At 46.7% G+C, this 22073-nt stretch overlaps 1 protein-coding gene and 1 long non-coding RNA gene across 28 annotated transcripts in view, besides 4 other annotated features; one reads left to right on the top strand and one right to left on the bottom strand.

The window, feature by feature from the left end:
- The window catches only part of LOC105376535 (uncharacterized), a 28817-nt gene extending 8053 nt beyond the window's left edge, over nt 1-20764 (top strand). For 2 of the 3 annotated variants that reach the window (XR_007062579.1, XR_007062578.1), the window contains 2 exons: nt 8220-8369; nt 17758-20764. This is a non-coding gene — a long non-coding RNA (uncharacterized LOC105376535). Of the gene's footprint in view, nt 1-8219; nt 10686-17757 lie in introns of those variants that run through there. The other variant, XR_007062577.1, reaches the window with a different exon arrangement.
- Nucleotides 1-22073, bottom strand: part of PPFIBP2 (PPFIB scaffold protein 2) — a 153306-nt gene that overhangs the window by 77676 nt on the left and 53557 nt on the right. For 5 of the 25 annotated variants that reach the window (NM_001351857.2, XM_006718352.3, NM_001351859.2 and 2 more), the window contains exon 1: nt 11991-12589. The exons of 15 other annotated variants lie outside the window; for them this stretch is intronic. In NM_001351857.2, the coding sequence (NP_001338786.2) occupies nt 11991-12038 (48 nt within the window). In that variant the 5' untranslated portion in view covers nt 12039-12589. Of the gene's footprint in view, nt 1-10654; nt 11739-11990; nt 12590-15606; nt 15697-22073 lie in introns of those variants that run through there. 5 more of the 25 variants (XM_011520417.3, XM_047427752.1, NM_001351860.2 and 2 more) reach the window with 3 other exon arrangements.
- Nucleotides 11307-11386: an enhancer, noted in NCBI's record as "active region_4374". NCBI's record gives its function as "activates an Ori minimal core promoter by ATAC-STARR-seq in GM12878 lymphoblastoid cells {active_cell/tissue: GM12878}" and the evidence as "EXISTENCE:reporter gene assay evidence [ECO:0000049][PMID:35858748]".
- Nucleotides 11457-11691: a silencer, noted in NCBI's record as "fragment chr11:7599169-7599403 (GRCh37/hg19 assembly coordinates)". NCBI's record gives its function as "represses an EF-1alpha promoter that drives an FKBP-Casp9 reporter gene in an ReSE screen in K562 erythroleukemia cells {active_cell/tissue: K562}" and the evidence as "EXISTENCE:reporter gene assay evidence [ECO:0000049][PMID:32094911]".
- Nucleotides 14110-14933: an enhancer, noted in NCBI's record as "H3K27ac-H3K4me1 hESC enhancer chr11:7595927-7596750 (GRCh37/hg19 assembly coordinates)". NCBI's record gives its function as "activates a minimal SCP1, AML or CMV promoter by ChIP-STARR-seq in naive H9 embryonic stem cells {active_cell/tissue: H9 hESC(naive)}" and the evidence as "EXISTENCE:reporter gene assay evidence [ECO:0000049][PMID:30033119]".
- Nucleotides 14934-15758: an enhancer, noted in NCBI's record as "H3K27ac-H3K4me1 hESC enhancer chr11:7595102-7595926 (GRCh37/hg19 assembly coordinates)". NCBI's record gives its function as "activates a minimal SCP1, AML or CMV promoter by ChIP-STARR-seq in primed H9 embryonic stem cells {active_cell/tissue: H9 hESC(primed)}" and the evidence as "EXISTENCE:reporter gene assay evidence [ECO:0000049][PMID:30033119]".

Here is a 22073-nt window from a genome sequence, read left to right as displayed (position 1 = left end):
GAGGTTTTTTTTTTTTTGGGAGGGGGTTGTTCTTTTTGAGACAGAGTCTTGTTCTGTCACCAGGCTGGAGTGCAGTGGTGCGATCTAGGCTCACTGCAACCTCTGCCTCCTGGGTTCAAGCGATCCTCCTGCCTCAGCCTCTTGAGTAGCTGGGTCTACAGGCATGCACCACCATGCCCAGCTAATTTTTTGTATTTTTGGTAGAGATGGGGTTTCACCACGTTGGCCAGGATAGTCTCAATCTCTTGACCTTGTGATCTGCCCACCTTGGCCTCCCAAAGTGCTGAGATTACAGGCATGAGCCACCGTGCCTGGCCTACATGCTAATTTTCTATTGTTCCCCACTGTGGGATGGCAAGTGACTATAAAGGAGAGTATCATCCACCCCCGTTATACTTGTTAAGGATGCTCAATCCACAGATGAATATAAGAAAGAGCTAATTTTTACTCAACCAATGACATTAGCCACTAGGCTAGACCTGCCAATGGTAAGCTGTGTTACATATATTTGATCAAACTTCCTCCCCCTCTGTTCTGATGGTTATTGCTACAAATGTGACAGGGAAAAGTCAATCTTCTCATTCAAATTTTCAGACCATTCATTCAAATGGTCAGAGCTATTTCTGATACTGTAATTCAGGTTAGTTACCTAAAAATATAGTGAGAACCATGTGATCTGTGTGCCCTGTGGAGAACTGTTAACTCCAGACATTTCCACATCCTCTTCAATTTTGACTAAAGAATGCCACAGTGAAACATACTACCTCTCCTATATCACGGAACTGAATCAAGACAAGGGCTTCTCGAATGGATATTTTTAAGAACTCAGCACCCTTAGTCAAGATCATTGAAGCCAAGCCACCTTTGTGTCTATCAAGTGTTGCTCTCAAGAGGCTGAAAAAAGTCTTGGACACAAGGAATTCATCCTCTAAAATTCAGACCTCGCGGAGGCAAATATAAAACACAGCACAGAGTTGTCATATCAAGGTCTTCCCTAGGCCTTGGGAGTAATATTCCAGAGTGTCTTCAGAAACAGTGACAACACACCTCCTTGATTCTTACAGGTTATCCTAGGGTCTGTTTCTGTAAGACCCAAACTGCTACCACTGCCGTGGCTGGGCAAGCCTAATGTGCAGCTTGAGCAATTAACAGCCTAAGGTGTGGGTATTTTCTAAGCCATCCCTAACTGAGAGGGGCCTCAGGAAAATGTATCAGCTGTGCAGGGTATTCTATGGTTGGGATCCTGGAGTTGATCATGATAGTCAATCAGCCTCAGCAGGGAGAGGACAGAGAGAGAACTGTGAGTAGCCAGGAGGGAGAGGACTGACTGACCAGCAAGATTCCAGCAGGGATAGTTAAGTCCCCACATAAGGGGCAGTTTGGACCGTACAATGATACTAGCCTAACCTAAACCAGGTCCTGTCCCTACCTCTCCCATCCCTCCCCTTGGTCACTGAGTAAGAAATTTACTCTTGATAAGTTCCTCATGCACAGAGAGCTGGTTGCTGGCATACTCAAAGAAATCAAGATTTCTGCACCTTGGAGAACATTGCATTTTAGGGATGAGATTTTTCAGGGGATATGTCAGGTCCAAAAAAGAAACTTCACCATGAATTGTGGCGAACCCTAGATCAGCCAAATTGTTCCCCTTGTTTTCTTGCTAAGGAAAAGAAACAGAGAAGACTTGTATCAGTCTTGGCAGAGAATCAGCACCCTGCTTTAATGGAATCTATTGTTTGTGTAGACTAGGCTGAGATCATCGCCTTTACTGTAATTATGTGGTATAAATGAGGGCTGCCATCTTCTTAGAAAGATCCTCATCTCCCTGCCACTTGATCCAGGCTTGACTTGTTGAAATCCTTCCTCTGAATTTTTAAACTTGGGAACAGAGCATGGTAGTGGTGGTGCCACAGTTCTGAGGTTGTCAGTGGCCATGTCCTGCTCCACGTGGAAAAAGCTGGTTTGCAGCAAGAGACAGCTATGAACCCAGTGTGCACAGAAAAGCAAACAAAAGCCAAGAAAAAGACTGGAGGCATTCTCATCCCCGGTGCACGCTGCCTAAAGGCAGAGATATATTCCAGCCCTTCCTGTTGGTTCCCTCTTGGCCTAGTTCAAACTGAGTTTCTGTTATTTGCAACCAAAAGTTCTGGTTAATACATTTGTCTCAAAAGGTGATCAACTGACTAAAATTTACTCCTTTGGAAACAGACTTGTAGGAAAGAATTCCTGCTATTTGGATATAGTTCTGAATTGCAAAGGAATTCTGCCACTATTGCTTGATTTGCTTAAAGTGGCAATTTTTAAGACAGGGCTGTCAGTCCTAAGCCAACTATAGTTCAAACCAGGATTATCATCAGGGGCTAATTGAGATCTACTTTGTGGCACAGGGAGTGTCTGTGTGGGATGTACTAGGATAAAAAGGGCACTCAGTGTCCTTTGTGTGTGGAATAGATGGCTTTCTATCCACCACCTGTTTGCTTCCATTCTTATTTCCCATGTAGAGCAAAAAGGTTAAGACAGGGAATGAATACAAGATGCAACAGGCCCATGGGCATCAACCGGGGTTGGTGGAGGTGGGGAGCAGGATGTGTGATATGAAAAAGTAAGTTCAAACAAAACAAGAAATAAACAGGAGCTAAAGTCTAAAAGATATTATCAGAAAATGAATCAGAAAATGAATAAATGAAGGGTAAATAACAGAAATAGATCTAACAACTGTTTAAGAAGTTATGTCGAAAGAATTACATGTCAGACACAGCTGTACAAATGCCAGGTCTGGGCGCTGGGAGGCTGAGAGCTCTGGGTTCCCTGTTCCCCTCATTTGGCCCAGCTGAACTTCAAGTCAGGGGATCCCTGGGGACTTTCTTGTGGTGCTTCCATATTCATTTACAGAATTCCTATTGCATCCTCCTCCCCAAGGGACCACCTTCTCTGCAGAAAGAGGACAAACCAAGAATAATTAGGAGGCTGGGGCTGCACCTAACCATGTGTAATCTCAAGTAGGTTACCTCATCTCAGGCTTTCCATCCTTTCAATAGAAAAAATCATGCTTCACGGAGCAACAGAAAGGGTCAAGTTAGGTCAGCATACCTGAAAACGTGTGGCACTAAAACTACAGAGTGCTCTTTATAGTAGGGTGCTCTAAAAATTCCTGTGTGATATAAACAGTTTTTGAATAATCATAGGAATATGGAAATGATTTTTAAATTATAATTTAACAAATGAATTTAGCTAACTTATAAATGATTTAGCTTTGTTTAATCTAAAAGACCAACATTCAGTTAGAAGCATGAGTTAGAAGGCATCATTTAATGCCTTCTACAAAAAGTTTTAATTAATTCACTCTTTTTGTGTAAGAGAACAACAGGGGCAATATTTCTGATCAGGATGCCTAAGAAATATCTATGAAGATCTGTACAAACAACCCAAGGGAACAATAACCAAAATACTTTCAGGCTTGAAATGAAAAAACAAAACAAAAAGAAAGCCTCTGTGACAGTGACAACGCAGAACCCACCATTAGCTAATAGCCCTGGGATCATGTCTTTGGGCCACATTGCCAAAGATGAGTTCACTTCTCCACTATCCCTGAACAAGTGCTCACATTTTTGAGTCATACATTCATGGCCACATATTTTTCTTTCGTACAAGTGTTTTATTGTGTACTCTAAGTATTATGTGCTACATACATGTTTATAATGAGTACACTGGGAATTTTTATAGCTAGTAATAACCAATCATAAACACTTGGGTTTTTATTTCTGTTCCAATCTAGAGGTTAGTTCAAATTTGGGTTAAACATGAACTTTTCAGCCAAGTTAACCCCCAGCGGCCTCCTCAAAGACATCACCCTCTGACTGCAGTGGCTGTTCAGATCTATGACAATGCTCTCTCCTGGCCTAGCCCTTCCACTGTAGCTTGGCCAAGGGATAGCCATGTTAGTCTCTCCTTGGAGCTCTAGACAGGGTGAGTGCTTGATGCCATGGCTGGGGTCCTGCAGATTTGTGGTGGGCAGCATGACTGCTTTATGGCCTGGCTGGCCATTTGCAAGGAGAACACACTCTTCACATGTGCTCTGGTACACCTCAGGGATGCTGGATGAGGGCAGTTCTGTAGCACTCCCCAACTGGCATGACCCAGGAGACTTCCTGCTGGCACTGTACTTCATTGAACTAGGGGAAGGAGTTGGTTCCAGAGTAGTCAAATGGGGCAAGGGCTAGATCACAACAGGGGTGTCATTGGTATACAAGTAAGGAGTGTGGGAAAACCTAAAACAGTCGGCTCCCCAGTGTGACAGCTCTAGCATCATGTTGGTTTTTGAAGCCAACAGTTGCTTCTCAGAGCTCTTGCCTTGGGATCCTCAAAATGCATCTGCCTTCCTTTTTTTGATATCAATAGTTGTCATCTTGGCCAGGTAAAGAGTTACATTTCCTTCAGTGCTTCTAATAAGCTATAAATTCCAGTGCCTTCAGGATCTTGGCCACAGTACATACACTGTCCCAACTGGTCAGAGCATGTTAAATTATATGATGGCTCTTTGCCTGTAAATACGCTGAGATTTTGAACACAGCACGTTGGGTAAGCCTTGTCCTGGATAAGCCTTAAAATGGTTCTTCCTTATTTAGCCATTTAGATGACATGTATTTTTAGCTGAATAAGAAAACAAAAGAAAATGTGTAGTGTTTCCAGGCTGCCTAGTCAAGAGGATCTTATCAAAATCCAGAAAACTAGTTACAAGTGAACCATAGCTGCCAGGCACAGGGCATCAGGGGAGATATCAAAGTTACTAAGGCTATATCTTAAGCTCAGAAGCACCACTCACATGCAACCCCTTTTAGAAACTTAGAAGACATAAACCTTAAAAGTAAGGGGACCAAAATAAATAAATAAACAAAAATGATTGGATCACAAAAGCTACAGTCAATTCCTGTTACAGGACTCTGGTTACCCAACACCAAGGGAACCCAGTAGTATGAGTGTAGGCAGGTTCTTATAAAAAAGAAAACTTCCCCTAGATTTTTTTATTAAGGAGTTTTAGGGCTTTCTGGCATTTATTATAAACCTGAGTATTCCCAGGACCAGTTCTGCTTTTTCTAGGTGAAGAACGGTCAAGCCAATCTACCATCTTTGTCACAGTGTTAAAGAAATTTCTTCCAAATGCAATGTGAATAGAGTGCAGTCAGATCCTCGGCTACCAGGAGTCCAACAAGAGAAAGCCTATCCTGACCTTGACCCTTATTCCCTCCTCCCCTCAATTATATATAAGGGGAGGTTAAGTATTGCTGATGAGGCTATCATCCAATGATCTAAATGTCCTCTTTTAAGGAAGAACAAAGCAGAGTTCATAAACAGCAAATAAATAGCTTCTTGGTTGACCAATGTTCACATCATCACACGTCATGAATGTATTTATGAAATGACTTGAATAATCCTGAGCACCCACTAGGTGCCACTTTCTGTGCTAAACAATGATTTAGTCCCTGCCCTTAAAAAGCTCTGTAGTATTACAGGGAATAAGGACAGAAGGAAAAAAGAAATCAACCTTTGCAGCAGGATGTAATAAGTACTATCATAAAGAGTTGTATGCACATGAATGGCAGGGGCATAGAGGAGAGACAAAAACATTTCACCTTCAAAAGAGAGAAGAGGCTTTACAGTGGAGGCACCATTTGAATGATTGAGTCTGAAGGCTTTAAAGGAATACCCCTAGGAGAATGTGAGAACAGCAGCTTTGGAAATAGCCTTCCCAATACAGACATGCTACCCATGAAGCTATGACAATCACTACCCTTCAGATATTCTGGTCTTCCAGAACTAACATAGCAAACACAGGACACCCTGAAGATAAACTGGCCATCAGCTCTCCAACCAAGGGGCTGGGATGAAGCTCCTAACTGATCTTCCTGGGGAGCTAGATTTGTAGAGAAACACATTTACCAAGATTTTTTTTTTCCCCAAAATTATAACCTTGGCTGAGCTTGGTCACTGCTAAATTCTCTTTATCTGGTAGCTGGACACATAAAAAGCTTACAGCACTGGGCTGCAGAAATAGCATTTGTATGTGTGCTGGTATCCTGTAATGAGAGGATGTGAAAGCCAGGAGGAGAGTAAAAAGAGAAGACTCTTTGAAGACTGTCCTCACCTTGCCAACTCCAATAGATGCACTGAGTCATTATTACTGAAAACACCTTCAGAGACAGTGCAGCAGGACTGGGTGCTACAGTTAGGGTGGAGTGGGCGCTGTGACTGTCTTAGCTCCCCTGGAGGCTTTAGAGCCTGGTGTCTCTTCGGCATGAAAGATCCAAAGTTTGAGAACACAGAATTAGGCAAGAGCCAAAGTAAGGAGCTGCTCCTCGGGTCACAAGAATGCCATTAATCCTACAAGATTTCCAAATGGAAATGAATACAAAGGAAAATGTATGGGGAAGATTGCCTGGGAACTAGAGGCAGCAAAAATAACATTACAGAAGGAATTTAAAAGATGACTATAGGAACAAAGTTAGTGCTCACTGGCTTCAGGAGTGACCAGGAGGGAGTAGAGATGAACGAGCAGGCTAACAACTCACCAAGAATCTTAACAGTGAAAGGAAGGTAAGTTATAAGGCAGCATGAAGAGACAAGCACAGGGTCAAAGATAGTTTTGATTTGTTTTTTCCCTGAGAATTGAGGAGAAGCATTTTCCACCAAGGGCAAGGGACAGATAGGCAGGGAGGAGCTGAGAGAAGAAACAATCAGAGCAACAAGAGGAGCTGGAACAGGATTGGGTCAAGGACAGGATACTGGGATAGCCTTGGCTGAGAGAAGGGACTCCTGGCCCATGAAACAGGATGCTGAAATACAGTTACATTTTGCGGTGAAAGGGAGGGAGGGTGAAGAGACTCATCTCAGTTTGGCTGGTTTTTTTTTTTTTTTCCTATGACATTGGTAGTGACATCAGTTGAAAGGGGAGTATAAGGTTGAAGACTAATGGAAAAGTGTGAAAGAGCTGCTATGGAGGAAGGGACAGAGAAAAGCAGGGATGAGTCAAAGGATCCCTAAGTGCTGCTGCCAGTCCACAAAACCAACAATGGCTGTGCTGCTCTGTAGTGCCCACAAGTTGTTCAGCAAATGACCCTGGTGTGATGCCAGTTTGTTAAATCCCACTGGGTAAAAGAGGCCTCTCTTCAAGGAGCTGGCAGGAGTTACAGGTGCTGGATGTCAGAGATGGCAGAATTCTAGCTTCTAAATTATACCAGGAAACATAATGTACAGGCATCTCGGGTGTGTTGGCCAGAAATAGGAGGTATCATAGGAAATTGAGGAAGCTAGTGCCCTTGGGTGACCATATCCACTGTTGCCTTTCCCATAGGATTGAAAAACCTCTCTTTTCAGAATCAAGGTTGGGTACCTGGCTCCCGAGTAACCAGAGGTTGTCAGTTCTGATCGATGTCATCCTCCCCATAACTCTAACACTTATAAAGTGCTTCCTAAGCACTTAACATACATTGAATTGGCTGGGCACGGTGGCTCACGCCTGTAATCCCAGCACTTTGGGAGGCTGAGGCGGGCGCATCATCTGAGATCAGGAGTTCGAGACCAGACTGGCTAACATGGCAAAACCCCATCTCTACTAAAAATACAAAAAATTAGCTGGGCATGGCGGTGTATGCCTGTAATCCCAGCTACTCGGGAGGCTGAGGCAGGAGAATCGCTTGAAGCTAGGAGAAGGAGGTTGAAGTGAGCCAAGATTGTGCCACTGCACTCCAGCCTGGGTGACAGACCTAGACTCTGTCTCAAAAAAAAAAAAATCTATCTATCTATCTATCTATAGAATTGTTTATCCATATATATAATCAAGGAAATTGAATTCTAGGAAGGTTAAATAAATTGCCCAAGTCTACACAGAGGTGAGATATGAGCCCAAGGAATCTAGATCCAGGATCCATGCTCTTAACTAGTAGGAACAGCCTTCACAGAAGCTGCTGCCTATTTCTGTAACTTTCACTGCAGTCCAACATGAATGCAAGGCAAGTCAGTGTCTGGAGTGAGGAGACCTCCGTGTCTGCCTTTGCAGCTCTTCTGGCCCAAGTGGCCAGGCTACTAGATCAACCATTTGAGCACCAGATGACACAGAATAAAGTCTCACATTAGCAGCTTGAGTTAATTCCACTTTTTACTGCAGAACCTGAGCCAACTGCATGGGGGACCTGTAGTGATTCCATTTTCTTTGTGACCTACAGTTGGAATTTGCTTAAGCACTGAGAGTGCTGGAAGCCAGGAAGCAGTGTGAAGATGCTGACAGTCTGGGATTTCTGTTCCTGGGAAAATGAACTCTTGCCGAAAGAGCAGTGGGTGGGTCCCACAGACCCTGCTCGGAGCTATTTTTAGAGGTGTGTTCATGGTTGTGTGGGTTGGATCCACTGGACTCAATGTAGAACAGGTGTGAGCTGTTTGTGACTGAGTCCCTCTGGATACTTGTGGCAAGAGACTACCTTATCCCTAGGCTTTGTCTGTTAGGAGAATGAACTAGAGCATCAGCCCTGATCAGCCTTCACTCAGCAACCACAGCCAAGCTGGCCAGATCCAGCAGCCAATGAGGCCTCTGGTCACCTATGGTGGCCCAGGTTGCAGCTGCCTTTTCTAGGTCTTCAATATGCTTGGTTTGAGACCTTGATCTGGAGTATGGGAAGGGTCATAAAGCTGAAGCACTGAATGGCCTGAGAGGCAATTCTAGGAGAGAACCTGGTTCCATCTGTTCCTCTTTCAACTTCTCCCTTCCTGATAATCACCAATAGCAGTTAATAGCAAGCATGTTATTGAGTATTTCCTACATGCATGATACTGCACTAATCGTACTATCTTACTGAGTCCTCATAAAGCCTGTATGTGGTAGGTACTATTATCTCCCTTATTTTATAGTTAAAGAAATCCAGACTTTTGAGATAATTTACCTTGGATCACACAGCTGGTAAACGTGGCAATGCCAGGATTCTAATTCAGGCCTCACTCCAGACTCCATGTTCTTAACTGTAATATTAATAGTATATACTATCCCATCCCACACAGGCCCTGGAGCAAGATTTCTTTTCTGAGCAAATATTTCCCCTCCAGCTCCATGCCTCTCTGAACATAAGTATCTCCCCTTTGCCCTGAGACACCACCACCTTGGACTGCTCAAAGGGCAAGGGCTCCTGCTCTGGCACCAGGAACCTCTTCTTCCAGAATCTATGCCCTCTGTAAAGGAGAATGAAGACGATAGTGTTTCTACCTTCAAAAGCATGAGTTCAGAGAAACCAGCTCTCCACACCACCTCAGCTGAAGCACAGGAGAAAGGGTGGGTGAGCCATGCAGATGGGAAGTGCTGCAGACCTGGGCTACAGGAGGTGGGGAGGGAGGGCCAGCAGAGGTTTCCTGGGAAAAGACAGCCTGGATGGAGTCAGTTGAAGTGGATGAGAGTTAGAGAGGAGGTGGTCATCTGTGGTAAAAGCTCAGAAAAGGGAAGAAATACACTTGGGAGCTCATCAGGGTAGATATAAAAGATAAAACTAAAAAGGTAAGTTGAGGTTGGGCTGCTAATGGTCTCAAAGGCCAAGCAAGCCGAAGGGCCTGATTTTTCTTCCAGATTAAGGGTGAGTCCAGGGGGGCTCATCACTGGGGTCACAGGACGAAAGGGAATTTGTTTTTTTTGTTTTTTTTTTTAAGAAGATTTTAAAAATCTGGCAGTAGTGTTTAGGGTAGAGAATAGTGAAAATACTCTTATCACACTGCCAATGACATGTCTACACTTTGAGTTTTGCTTTTGTAAAATGCTCTTTAAAATTCTAAAAGTAGAAGAAAAATATCTGTTTTGCTATGAGTCATCCTGGGGGTTTCTAAAGTCTCCTTGCTTAAAGTTTCCCTAAGCAAACTTCCAACTGTCCACAGGAGCCAGCATACCCTGGGTCTTGGGACAAGAAGGGCCTTCTTACATTGCATCACATGCAAAATTAGTTCCTCCACACACATAACTTCTCCTGTAGCAGGCAGAGTTACAGTATCTGCCCCAGGGGCTGGGACAAGGCTCTGACAATCCCAGGCACATGTTGGCTGAAAGGATTTCTTGATTAAAAGCTTCATTTGGGATACAGGGAAAGAAGGACCAAGTGATGGTCAGTGCATTTCTTACATATTTCCTTTCAGTATCTCCCCAGTGGGGCTTAAAAAAAAAACCTAAGATGATGCAAACCTTTGCCAAAACGTCTGGTCATCTCAGCATGCTTTCTGGTGACTGTGATGCCCTAGGGGCTGGGCACAGACAGGATTTCTGCTGGGTTCTAAAGCAATAATTTTATACATATTTGGCAGAGAAAATGAATAAAGAGAACTAGACTGGGAGATAGAGAACAGGGTTCAAGACCAGGCTGCACCACTAATAGCTATGACACTAATACCATGAGGTTCTTAGCCCCTCTTGGGCTTTGTTAAATGAGGGGTTTGTACTATCCCATCCCTCCAAGCCCTCCAGCCCTATAATTGTGTTCAGTTGCCTCACTTTTCCCAACATAGCTTACCATATACCACATCACAGCTAGAGTAATTTTCTTAAAATACAAACTAGACCCCCCCCAATGTATCCCATGTCACTTCCCTGCTACAAGTCCCCCAGCACACAAACCAGGTTGCCCAAAAGCCTTACCGTGGCCTTCACTGTCCTGCGTGATCCCAGCCTCTGCCCGCCTCTGTCTGCCATCACTGTGCTCAGCCACATGGGCTCTCTCTCAATCTGGACAATCAGCAGACTCCATCTTGCTTTAGGACCTTTGTATATACATCATCCCCTATGCCCCATTTGCCTGGAATGTTCTTCACCCCATTCTTCACCTGACTCATTCTTACTGCTCTTTCAGTTTTCAGCGAAGTATAATTTCCTCAAACTCCCTGACCGCCCCAACCCCCTTCTCCATCAAAACAGCAGTCCCGTGTCTTCTGTTCTTCCTCCAGGCACACTTATTGTTTGTAATCTGAGGTTTATTTCCTGGGACTGTTTCACCTACATCTCCAGTATTAGGTAGAAGATCCACAAGAGGCTGGTTCTATTTTGCTCACTACTATACACCCAGTACCCAAACTCAGTACAGATTTGCTGAATGAGTGCTGCTGCACTCACACAAAAGCCAGCCAGCTCAGTGTCCGGGAGTCGGGGTCCGGGCATCTGCATGCCCCTTCCAAGCTGGACACTTCCTGGTTCTTCTGTCCTTCTGCAGTTACAATGTCAAATCTCTAACCTGTCAGCTGCTTTTGCCCTTCCTGCCTCTGAAAAACACTCAGCCTAAAATCCCTTCGTGTGAAAATAAATTCATACCTATCTTAGCCAATTTAAAGGCAGCCACAAAAGAGGAAACAGCCTGAATTCTAGGAGTATGATGCTACTCCAGCCCCCAACGTCCGTTCATTCCTTGCTCATACCACACACTCAGGTTTATCCTCTAAAGAAAGGGCATGAACAACTTGCAACATAAACCCTCAGCTTCAGAGCATTCAAAGAGAACTCCCTGAAAGCTTTCCTCCGGAAATGCAGAAGCTCATTCTGCTGACAGCAGATGTGTGCTCCACCGGATAACATCAGAGTGAGAACGAGTTAAACAACTTCCGAATCCAATGCATTTAAAAAGGCAGCAGCTTCCTCCCTGTGTCCTCAAACTGAAAAGCGGTGGGCACATTCTTCTGGTCACGGTGTTTGGAGCCTCTGACTGTTTAGGTGCCAAAGTTAAAATAACCAACTTTCCTCACTCCATTCTTGCCTTTCTGTACAGAGGCTCATTCACTAGAATGTCAGTGGAGAAACAAAGACAGCTGACTGTTTTCTCCCTGGTGTCTATAATTAGATTCTCATGAAGAACTTGGCCACAGCAGGGCTTTGCTGGACAATACCTCCCCCTACCACACACAGGCACACACACCCCAAAACACCCCAAAGCGTCTCCCCCTCACTTATCTCCACGGAGACCCAGACAAAGCAGCCAGTCACTTACCCTCTTCAGCCACGAGAAATGCTTGTAAACATCAATGTCCCCATCCATGCTGGGCACCCATGTCAGCAGTTAGATGCCTTGGTGGAAAAAGCCCTTTTCCTGGCTGGAGACCAGTTCTCTCCTCTTCCTTGCCTCTGCCCCCTCCCCCCTCAAGAACTCCAAGCTGTGTTCAAATTTCCCCACTTCCCTGGCCTGCGTCCTTCAGCCTCTCCCTAGACAGTTTCAGACACACAGCGACACAGAGCAGACCGTGCTGCTTCAGTGTCCTCCCCGACCACCCCAACAAACACACACACACACACACACACACACACACACGCACATACATGCACGCACACGCACCAGGACTGGGATTCAGAGCCCTGCGGAGAAATCAAATGTCACACAAAGGTAGAGAAAAAAGAAAGAAGACTTGGACAGAAGTTGTAAACATGACACACACGCACACACACACGGGACCATTCTCAGTGATAATACCGGAGCCTGCCAGAGGGAAACAGTCCTGAAGAAAATTCCTTGTCTGGCTTCCCCCTTCTGGAGTGGCTGGAACTCATTACTGAGAGCCCCGATTTCCTGTCTCTGCTTCACTCTGCATTTACCCAGGGCTCCCAGCTGCTCTCAGTTTATTTGGGACTGGGGAGAAGACTAAAAATAAGTGCTGCTCTTGGAGGAGCTCACTGGTTCCCACACACAGCCTGACCCCCGCCCTGAAGCCCACGCCCACCCATTTTCCAGGCGAGTGACGGGCTGTGCCCTGAGGAAAGCCTGTTGTTTCCAAAAAAAAGCAGCTCCAGTCTGGGTTCTTGGTCCTGCTGTGCGACGGGCCCAGCACAGAGCGTTTGCTGTCCTTGGCACTGGTGGTACCATCCATTAGAGACCAACTGCCGCAAACTCAGGGGAGTCTGGCCCTGGACTGTTGGCCACCAGCCAGGGCACCCTGGGGGCCACATTCTGAACAGGGGCCAGGGCTGGAGGGTCCTGCCTCTCTGGCTGTCCCCCACTCTGGGCTACCTGCTTTACAAACCAAGGAGGTGGAAAGGTTGAGGCTGCTTCACGTGCATTTCCATGAGACTCAGGGAGCAGTGCTGGGTAGACAGGGGCCTTGGAAAGGCTGGCGGAGACCTGGAGCTGCAGCTGTTTTCCTCCTTTCAGGGCAGGTCACATGCAGGCTCTCCAGGTGGCCCCTCCAGCACTCCCTAGATGCCACCCCCCACCTCCTCCTATTCCCATCTCCTTTGAGAGCTCCCCACTAAAAACAGCTTTTCTCCCTTCCCCAGCCCTTAATGTGTGGCCTTTGGCTATGGCTGATTATCAAAGTGACCTTTGATGTGGGTGCGGTGGGAACTGTGGTTACACGGTGGGAACTGTGGTTACACGCAAGGCCCCGAGCTCTGCTGTGGCAAAGGACTTGCAGATGCACAGCTTGTGACTGCCTGGGCCTTCCCAGTTCCCTTGGGGGTCACCTCCGGGGTTTCCTGGAACTCCCAGTCTGAAGAGCAGTCCTTCATGCCCCTCATGCCGCATGCCCCTCAGCATGGCTTCAATGTCCACCAGGGCCAGAAGCAGGGCCCAAAAGGGGAGAAACAATGCCTGGCAGCACAGTCCCCGGCAGGCTGGGCCAGCCCACAGAGATCACAGAGGCGGCAAGGAGGAGAGCTCTAGCCAGCAGCTGGCATAAGGGGAGGAGTAAATTCCTGGAGACACACCCAGACAGAGGCCAGAAAGGAAAAGCAGGCTTTGCTGCCCATGCGCTGAGCTCTAGCCCCTTGCTCCTCACCTCTGGCCCTGCTCCACAGCACAGTGTGACCCACCCAGCCCAGGTTCCCTGCCCGTGCTATGGCAGGATGTTGCCAAGGAAGAACATCTCTAAAGGTACAGGGGTCAGTAGGTTGGTTTTTCTCTGTCTAAAAGCCTGAACAAGTCAAATGAAGAAATTCATCCAGTCAATACACATTTTCCCCGCATCCAAGGCAAATGAAAAACTTCATGCCCTGGGTTAAGAATTATCATATGGTATGCAATAAAGGTATATCTGGGACTCCAAGGAAGAGGAGGTAGACAAGCTGATTTGGGAGCTGGACAGGGAGAGGTGGCGCAAGGTTCCAGCCTCTACAGGATGGTGGAAAATTCTCCCCTCTCCTGGGAGGAGTGCAGTGCTCTTCCTTAGGTTCTGGTACAAGAGAGGAGAAAAGAGAAAAGAGAAAGGTGGCCAATGTGGCTGCTCTCATCAGCCTTGCTCACTCCCAGCTTACATAGAGCTGTGGCTCAGGTGTCCCTCTTCTATCCCTTCCTGAGCACCTAAATTCCCCTCTCTACTTCATCACTGACCTTGTCACACTGGACCACTCCTATTGCACCAGACTGTCAGAAGTGTGTCTGATTTCCAACTCACTTCTCCTACTTCCATGCCTACAATTCTTAGCACACAGTACGAATTTAAACATTTTTTGGATGAAAGAATAAGGCTCAAATGATAAGACTGGTAAAGTAAGACTAAAATTCTATGTGAAGGAAAGAGACTTGAAGGTCCGTTTCTCCAGGGTAAAGATGTTCGACACAAAAAGGAAAAGACGGGGCCCATTTCCTCTGTTAGCTCAACTCAATGTGTGATGAACAAAGGTGGGGGGTGCAGGGTAGGGGAGAGAAAGGGACAGAAAAGGGAGGAAGGGAGGGAAGAATCCAGATAAACTGCAGCTAAATTCTTGACATTTTTATGGCATTCTCAAGTAGCAAGTCTTATCTCAGCCTTGTTTTTCCTTAAACACCAAGTACATTTTACTTACGTTGTAATTCAACTCAAAAATCACAAATTAACACCCCAAAAGACCTAGGAGCAGGTTGGCAGGAGGGAAAGGGGAAGGGCTGAGTGAAATGGGATGGATTCAGAAGCTAAGGCACCTCCTCGCTCACTCACCCCACCCCCAGGGGCAGCTGGGTCCCTGTCGTGGCTCCCTCATCACACTGGCCTGGCAAGGCAAACCCATGGCTGCACCACTGCCCTAGAAGTCCATCCTGTCCAGGGCACCTCACTTGATTTACAGATGGGATTCCAGGGATCAGATGAGCCCCTAAATATGTTCGTCAAATATATAGAAAGTACTACTATTTGTATTCATAAATCTTTATCTGAAAAAGAGTTGTCAGATTATCAGAACAGTCCATGACTCCCAAAAGGCTAGAAGCCCAGCTTTTAATTGGCCGAGGTAGTTACTCCCAAAGGTCTAGGCTCCCCTTGTTATTGGGAGCTCGGGGGCCTGGGCTTGCTGCTCCCATTATACTGCTCCTGTGAGGTGGTGTCTCAGACTCACTGGACCCCTCTCTGAAGACAGAAGTCCTCAGGAAGCACAAAGGGTACACAAATACGGGTCACTACAGTGACCTAACAGTCCCGAAGGCCTTCCTGGAAGTACTTTGCTCATCTACAAACAGATTCATTACTGCCTGCAACATGCAGCAGCCAGCTGTGGGAAAAGGGCAGGAGACTGTGAGGCTGAGCATTCTGGGAGTAAAAACACAGCTAAGAGGCCAGGGTGGTCAGGTTTGCCGGGGAAAGTCACTGTAGCTTGCTCCACCCCTGTCCTAGGGTCTAGAAGAGAACCCCAGGATTGCCACCTACCTGGCTGGAATTCCAAGTACTTGAGGGAATGGCTGAAAAAGGAGCTGAGGCCCCCTGAGGTGTTACTCCTGCTGCCTACCAGAAATCAGCAGCATCTTATCAGGCAGAACTGTAAACTGAGAGGAATCTCATGGTCACGTGCTGTTCCACTGACCTATCACCTACAGGCATCCTGGGCTCCGCTCAGCCCTGAGCCTTCACCTCTGGGCCATAGGTGGCAGCTGCCAGGACACTCCCTCATAAATCCTCATAAGTCAGATGTAAACTTGTGTCCTTCAACAGACATGGTGCACAGTGGGCCCGCTGAGAAGGGGAGGCGGGGGAAGGGAGTGAAGAGTGCTGTGGAGGAAGTCCTGGCCACTGCAGCTCAAGCCTCCACAGAACACATGCATGGAGAATGCACCTCCAAAATAGATCAGTACAAAGGTCGGCAGACTTTTCCTGTAAAGCGCCAGATGGCAAATATTTGGGTTTGGTGGGCCATGTAGTCTATCTCATACTCAACTCTCCTATTTGCAGTGCAAAAGCAGCCACAGCCAATACCTAAACCAGTGTGTGGCTGTGTACTAGTAAAACTTTATTTATGGACACCAAAATGTGAATTTTATATTATTTTCCCATCTCAAAACATTCTTGTGATTTTTCTTCAGTCTTGAAAAATGTAAAAATCATTCTTAGCTGATGAGTGTAAGAAATATGCAGTGGGCTAACTGTGGGCCATGGTTTGCTAATCCCTGGGTTAGGACAGTGCTTCCCCATCCAGAATGAACTGCCTGGACCTGAGGGGGTTCTAGTAAAAATGCAGATTCTGGTTCAGTAGATTGGGTATGGGGCCTGCTGTTGTGCACTGCTGACAAGCTCCCAGGTGATGCTCGTACTACTGGTCCCAGGACAACACTTGGAGGAGTAAGAAGTTAGGAAACCGCTTTCAAAAGTTCCTCAAGGCCAGGTATGGTGGCTCATGCCTGTATTCCCAGCACTTTCGGAGGCTGAGGTGGGCAGATCACCTGAGGTCAGGAGTTCAAGATCAGCCTCGTCAACCTGGTGAAACACCGTCTCTACGAAAAATACAAAAATTAGCCGGGTGTGGTGGTGCACAACTGCAATCCCAGCTAATCGGGAGGCTGGGGCAGGAGAATTGCTTGAACCTGGGAGGTGGAGATTGCAGTGAGCCAATATCACACTATTGCACTCCAGCCTGGGCAATAAGAGTAAAACTCCGTCTCAAAAAACAAAACAAAACAAAACAAACAAAACATTCTTCGAAACATAGATTACTAAACAAACTTGCCTAGAAGCATAAATTCCCTGGAGCCTGCCTGCCCACTAGCAGGTATCTGAAAGGGCAGAAGGCTCTTGGTAGTGTATCTCTGGCAGGATTTTCTTTTGTAGGTGGAGGGTAAGTGGGTGTCTACGTGCTCAGACCTCAAGTTATGCTAACCTGGCAACACTGTCCACCACGGCCCCTGGGCCTGAAGCAGGAAATATAGTGGGGAAGGATTTATTTGCTCTTTCACCAGTGTTTGCACATTCTTGGTCATTTATAAACATTGGTTCTTAGAGGCTGAAATAGTCTCTTTAGGTCAGGTCTGAAAGGAGCCGGATTGCTAGAATTTAGTAGGGTAAATTTACTTTGGGGGGCAGGGATCAAGATCCAGGAAAATTGAAACTGCTAAATTTGCAGTGGCTGAAGGCCCCCAGTCTTGGCTGCTGTGTCAGGAAAAGGGCATTCAAAATCCCCCAGGGGACAGGAAGCTTCTCTAGGGCAGGGCGTGACATAAACTGTGGGCTAGGAAATGCCTGCAGGAATGGAAGGGGCCAACCTACTAGCACCCCAGCAGAAGGCACTGCAGTCAAGAAGTCTGGAGAGGTCTCCCCACATCCACAGGGGAAGGTCAGGTCTATGATCCCAGGACCAGCCCTGTCTCTTCTCCCCCACCCTAAACAGTGGAGCCCTCTCTTGACTGCCCTTTGTCCACTGTTTCTAAGGAAAATGGCAAAGAATTATCTTTGCCAGCTGACCCAGGTGCAGTTAAGCAGTTTCAATAATGAGAGGTGCTTATGTTATCTTTGTCTGAAAAAGAAAAATTAAAAGCTGTTTTCTCATATGAAGCCCATGCTGACCTCATTCTTTGGGATTTCACTTCCCAGCATTTGTCCCTGACTCCCACCTAGTGGCTTCTTCCAGCACTGCACAGGGACAAAGAACCACCACTGATGCCACCTGAGCCCGGCCCAGGAGCCCCTTGGGAGCTGAGCGCAGAAAGAAAGCACGGACACACCTACTCCTTTCTCATCTCTCACTCAAGTTCACACCTGTCACAGGGGAGGTAAGAAAACATGCTGGAAATCGGCTCACACAGGCTCTACTTTTTTTCTTGAAAAATAAGCACCAAATTTTCCCTCCTCTAAGATCCAGAGGAAAAGGTTTACCTACAAAACTCCTTCTGTAACTTTTCAAAATTGAAATGTTCAACACACACGTATCCTGACTATCTTTTGTTTTCCATTCTGGAGATACAGAAATGAATCCCATGGTAAAAAAATTCAAGCTCACATTTTATAATTCATAAAACAGCTTTTTCTCTCCACTTTTTTTTTTGCAACTCCTCTAGCTTTTCAATATGGTAAACAGATTTGCTTCTTGGACAGAATGAAAGATTGCAAGCTGAATCTGGCAGGAATGTATGGGCTTTGTTTGAGGAGCTGGGAGCTGAAGAAACCGCCATCTGTGACAAGGTGGTTTGGAGCTGAGAAGGGGGGGTGGCTGTGCTCCCCAGCCTGGGTCTGGGTTTCTTTGTTTCTTGGGAAACTAGTTAAAAAGGTAACTGAGGGCACCTGAACTGACTGCTGGGCTATCAGAGGTGAGCACTTATCCCAGCTGGGGCCAGCAGAGGCTGCTCATTCAGGAGAGCAACTCTTCAGGTTTTTCAATATGGTAAACAGATTTGCCTCTCCACTGTTGAGATGTGGGCCTCCATCAAGCTCTAACATAAGGGCAGCAGTAAACTGAGAGGTTCCTAACCTGTCTCCACACTTTGGAACCCAAGAGGTCAAGACTGAGGGAGGCAAAGGCTGGTGCTTACAAAGAGACCACTCCATATAGCCCCCAGAACAAACTGCAGAATTGGAATGCTTGGCCAGATCTTGCAGACACTTTCAAACTCAGCTGTCATTTCCAGTAGGGAAACTGAGTCCCACAGAAGTGAAGAAGAGGCTCATGAGTGGTAGAGCCAGGGTAGAACCCTGGCCTTTTAACTCCTTCCTACCTTCCATACTCCCTCACCCTGGTTCAATCTGCTTTCACCTGCTCAAGCACACTGACCAGGACTCTTGAGACCTTGCAAAGAAAAGCCTGGGTTCCTATTGGATGGCCAAGCCTACTCCATGTACCCCAGTTCCAAACAGGGCCTAGAGTACATACAGCCCTTCTGTGGGTTCTCTGCCAAGCACCACCCCTCACCCTGGAGCCTGAGCTCTTCCTTGACTTGCCTTCACTTTGCTGCTGGGTTTGCCTGCCCTTTCTCTGGCTTCATCTTGAAACTTCACCAAGAATCTCCTTGGCCCATACCCAATGTATTAAACAGCAGAACAGACTGGCTGGCTGGTAGGAGATGAAGGGTGTACATAACATACTGTTAGAGAAGCACCCATGGCTACTTCATATGGAGACTCTGCTGGCTCTGGTATCTTCTGGGCGTCACCCAAAGACCTGGGACACGAATCAACACTGTGTATCAGCCTAGGTCTACTCCTCCCAGCTAACTGGCTATCCCCAGCCCTGTAGAGCCCATCTGAATCTGACTGGCTATCCTGTCTAAGGTTTCCACCACCCAACCTAGCCAAAGATCTATGCCACTAACCACCAGCCAAGCCAAGCAGGTGTGGAGGGGTAGAGACACCCCTTTCAGACCATGGGAAAGCCCCACTCAAGGCACAGCCAAAATCCTGGAAGTGGTCACAGTTGTACCGGGTCCTTCTTGCCTGGGCCAGGTACCACATGCCAGGGCCACTGATGATTACATGCCAGCATATGCCAGGGCCACTGATGAGCACTGCTTCCCTTTCTGGGCTTCAGGACCACCTGTGGGGTTCTGGGGCTCCTGAACTGAAATAACCACACCCTCCCGAGGGCATCATCCTACATTTCACCATAGTAAACAGAGAAGGAGGAGGCTGCCCCTTTTCTAGAACTCAGCTCTGTTCCCATCACAAAAGAGCTGCCTCAGCCTTCCAGCCAGGGCCTCAGCTTCATCCTCCATGAGCACTGACCCTGAGCTTGGCTGTGTCTTCCAGTTGTAAAGGACTACCTTCCCATCTCCTGAGGGTAACACTGCTCTGCTGCACCACAGGCAGGACAGCCTCCCTGATGCTTCCTCTGCAGGCCAGGTCCCAGCCCATCTTAGACCCCAAGACACCCTCTATACAAGGTCCTCATTCACCAACTTTCCAGAGGAAATACTGCTCCTAGACCAAGGGAATCCAAGCCCTTTGTTCCTTGCCCCACTGAGGCCCCAGAGGGTATCCCCATTAAGAAAGCCTTGCACATGCCCTTCTAGGCCCAGAGCCCACTTCTCCTCATTATACTTACCAAGGAGCAGGATGCTAGTTTAGACTCCAGAGCATGGGAAACTCACTTAACCCAGTGCCACTGACTCCTGGGCAGGTCTGCTCCACTTGGGCTTTAGAACTAGTCGCCTCTGTTTTATACCCATCTCCAGGCAAAGTCCTGGCCAACAGCACTCCTACTTCTGCCAACTGTGCTGGCCCAGCTGTGCTTTAGCTCTGCCAGGACCCAGAAGAAGAGGAACCAGCCCTACCACAAAGAAACAGCTACCCAATAGGAGGCACTAGGACTAGGAGTGCCCTTTTCATGTAAGACATAGAGAGCCCAGGACTAGTCTGCTATTTGTCCTATTCTAACTATGGACCACTCCTCCACATCTACCCCTGCTTCTCAGCAGCCCATTCTTCTGATGGACCACAGATGCTCCAGTGCCAGAAGATCTGCAGTCCCAGATGAGCAGCAGCAGTACAAGATACATTTCCCACTATGTAATCCCTCCCCTCTGCTAACAGTTGATTCACTCTGGGGTAGACACTGGACCTAAGGTGTGCATCCATAGCTTGTGAATAAATTAAAAGTCTTTAATGTCTATTTCTTTTACACTTAACGCTTCTTCATTGATCTGGAGGACTTCGCTCAAAAATAATTAACTGGGTCAATCAGATCCTTTTCCTTAGAAACTTGAGTTTAAAAAGAAAACATATTGAGAAAACATGGAAAGAATTTGTCAGCCAACAAGAGTAAACTCAAACCTAACAGAAGTCTGTGGCAGTCACTCTGAGCTGTCTTCCTGAGGGCCACTTTCCCCCACTCTATCATCATTCTTTTCTGACAGAGGCCACCTCCCTCTATGGCAGGTGGAAGTGCCAATACTTGCTTTCCCAGCCTCCCTTGCAGCTAGGGTATGCACAGGTGAACAAATTCTGGCCACTGCAGCTAAATGGGAAGTCTGCTAGGGGGTTGCAGAGAGTTTCCCTCCTGATTAAAAACAACAAAAACATACTAAAGAAATGATTCTCTACCTCTGCACACAGTTGTATAGTTGTGTCTTGTAAGGACATGTTGCCTGCAGTTCTAGTGGCCATCTTGCAACTGTTATGGGATGTGCCTGAGCAAAAACCACCCCTTGAGGATGGCAAAGAAAAAAGATGGGAAGAACCAGTACCCATGAGGTCACTCAGAGCCACTTATTTAACCCTGGGACTGTCTGTCTTCTGGACATCTTGTTAGTGGTCTATCTTGTTATTGTTTACATCATTTTACTGGAAAAAGTATCCCAACTGATATAGGTGTCACGAGGCAGAGTTGGACCATGTCAGGCCAGTGTCATGGCCAAGCAGGAATTCTAGGTGTGAACAATGCCAATGTGTCTACAGAGGAGAAGGGAGCAAATATGCAAGGGATGCACAGACATCATGCATGAGAAGGCGCTGGGCAGTGCTGCCTAATCCTTCAAACCATCTTACTAGTTCCAACTCCAATCCTAACCCACATGGGACTTTAAAAAAATAATTCAACTGAGTCTCCAGGGTTGAACGCAGCGCTTCTTAAACTTTAATGTGCTTACGAGTCACCTGGAGATGGTTCAGCAAGTGTGAGATGGGAGCCCATAGTCTGCATTTTTCACAAGCTACGAGGGGATAAGAAAGCTGCTGAGCCACAGACCAAAATTTGAGCAGCAACAACTTCTAACTAAAAGTGTCAATCTAAAGCACTTGATGAGTTTGCTCACCAGTCTGAATTCTATTCCCATACAGATTAAGACCTTGTGTGGAATGTGGATGTGCTGATCATAAAATGACTTTAGGTCTGCAAGATCTAAAACACAGACAGGCTATCTCTGTCCAGAATAAAAACCTTAACATGCAGCCCTTACAACTTGGAATGTTTATATGAACTT

This window comes from Homo sapiens, chromosome 11, assembly GCF_000001405.40.
Source record: "Homo sapiens chromosome 11, GRCh38.p14 Primary Assembly".
Taxonomy (NCBI): domain Eukaryota; kingdom Metazoa; phylum Chordata; class Mammalia; order Primates; family Hominidae; genus Homo; species Homo sapiens.
Note: the sequence above shows the minus strand (reverse complement) of the source record. Positions and strands in the feature narration are given on the sequence as shown.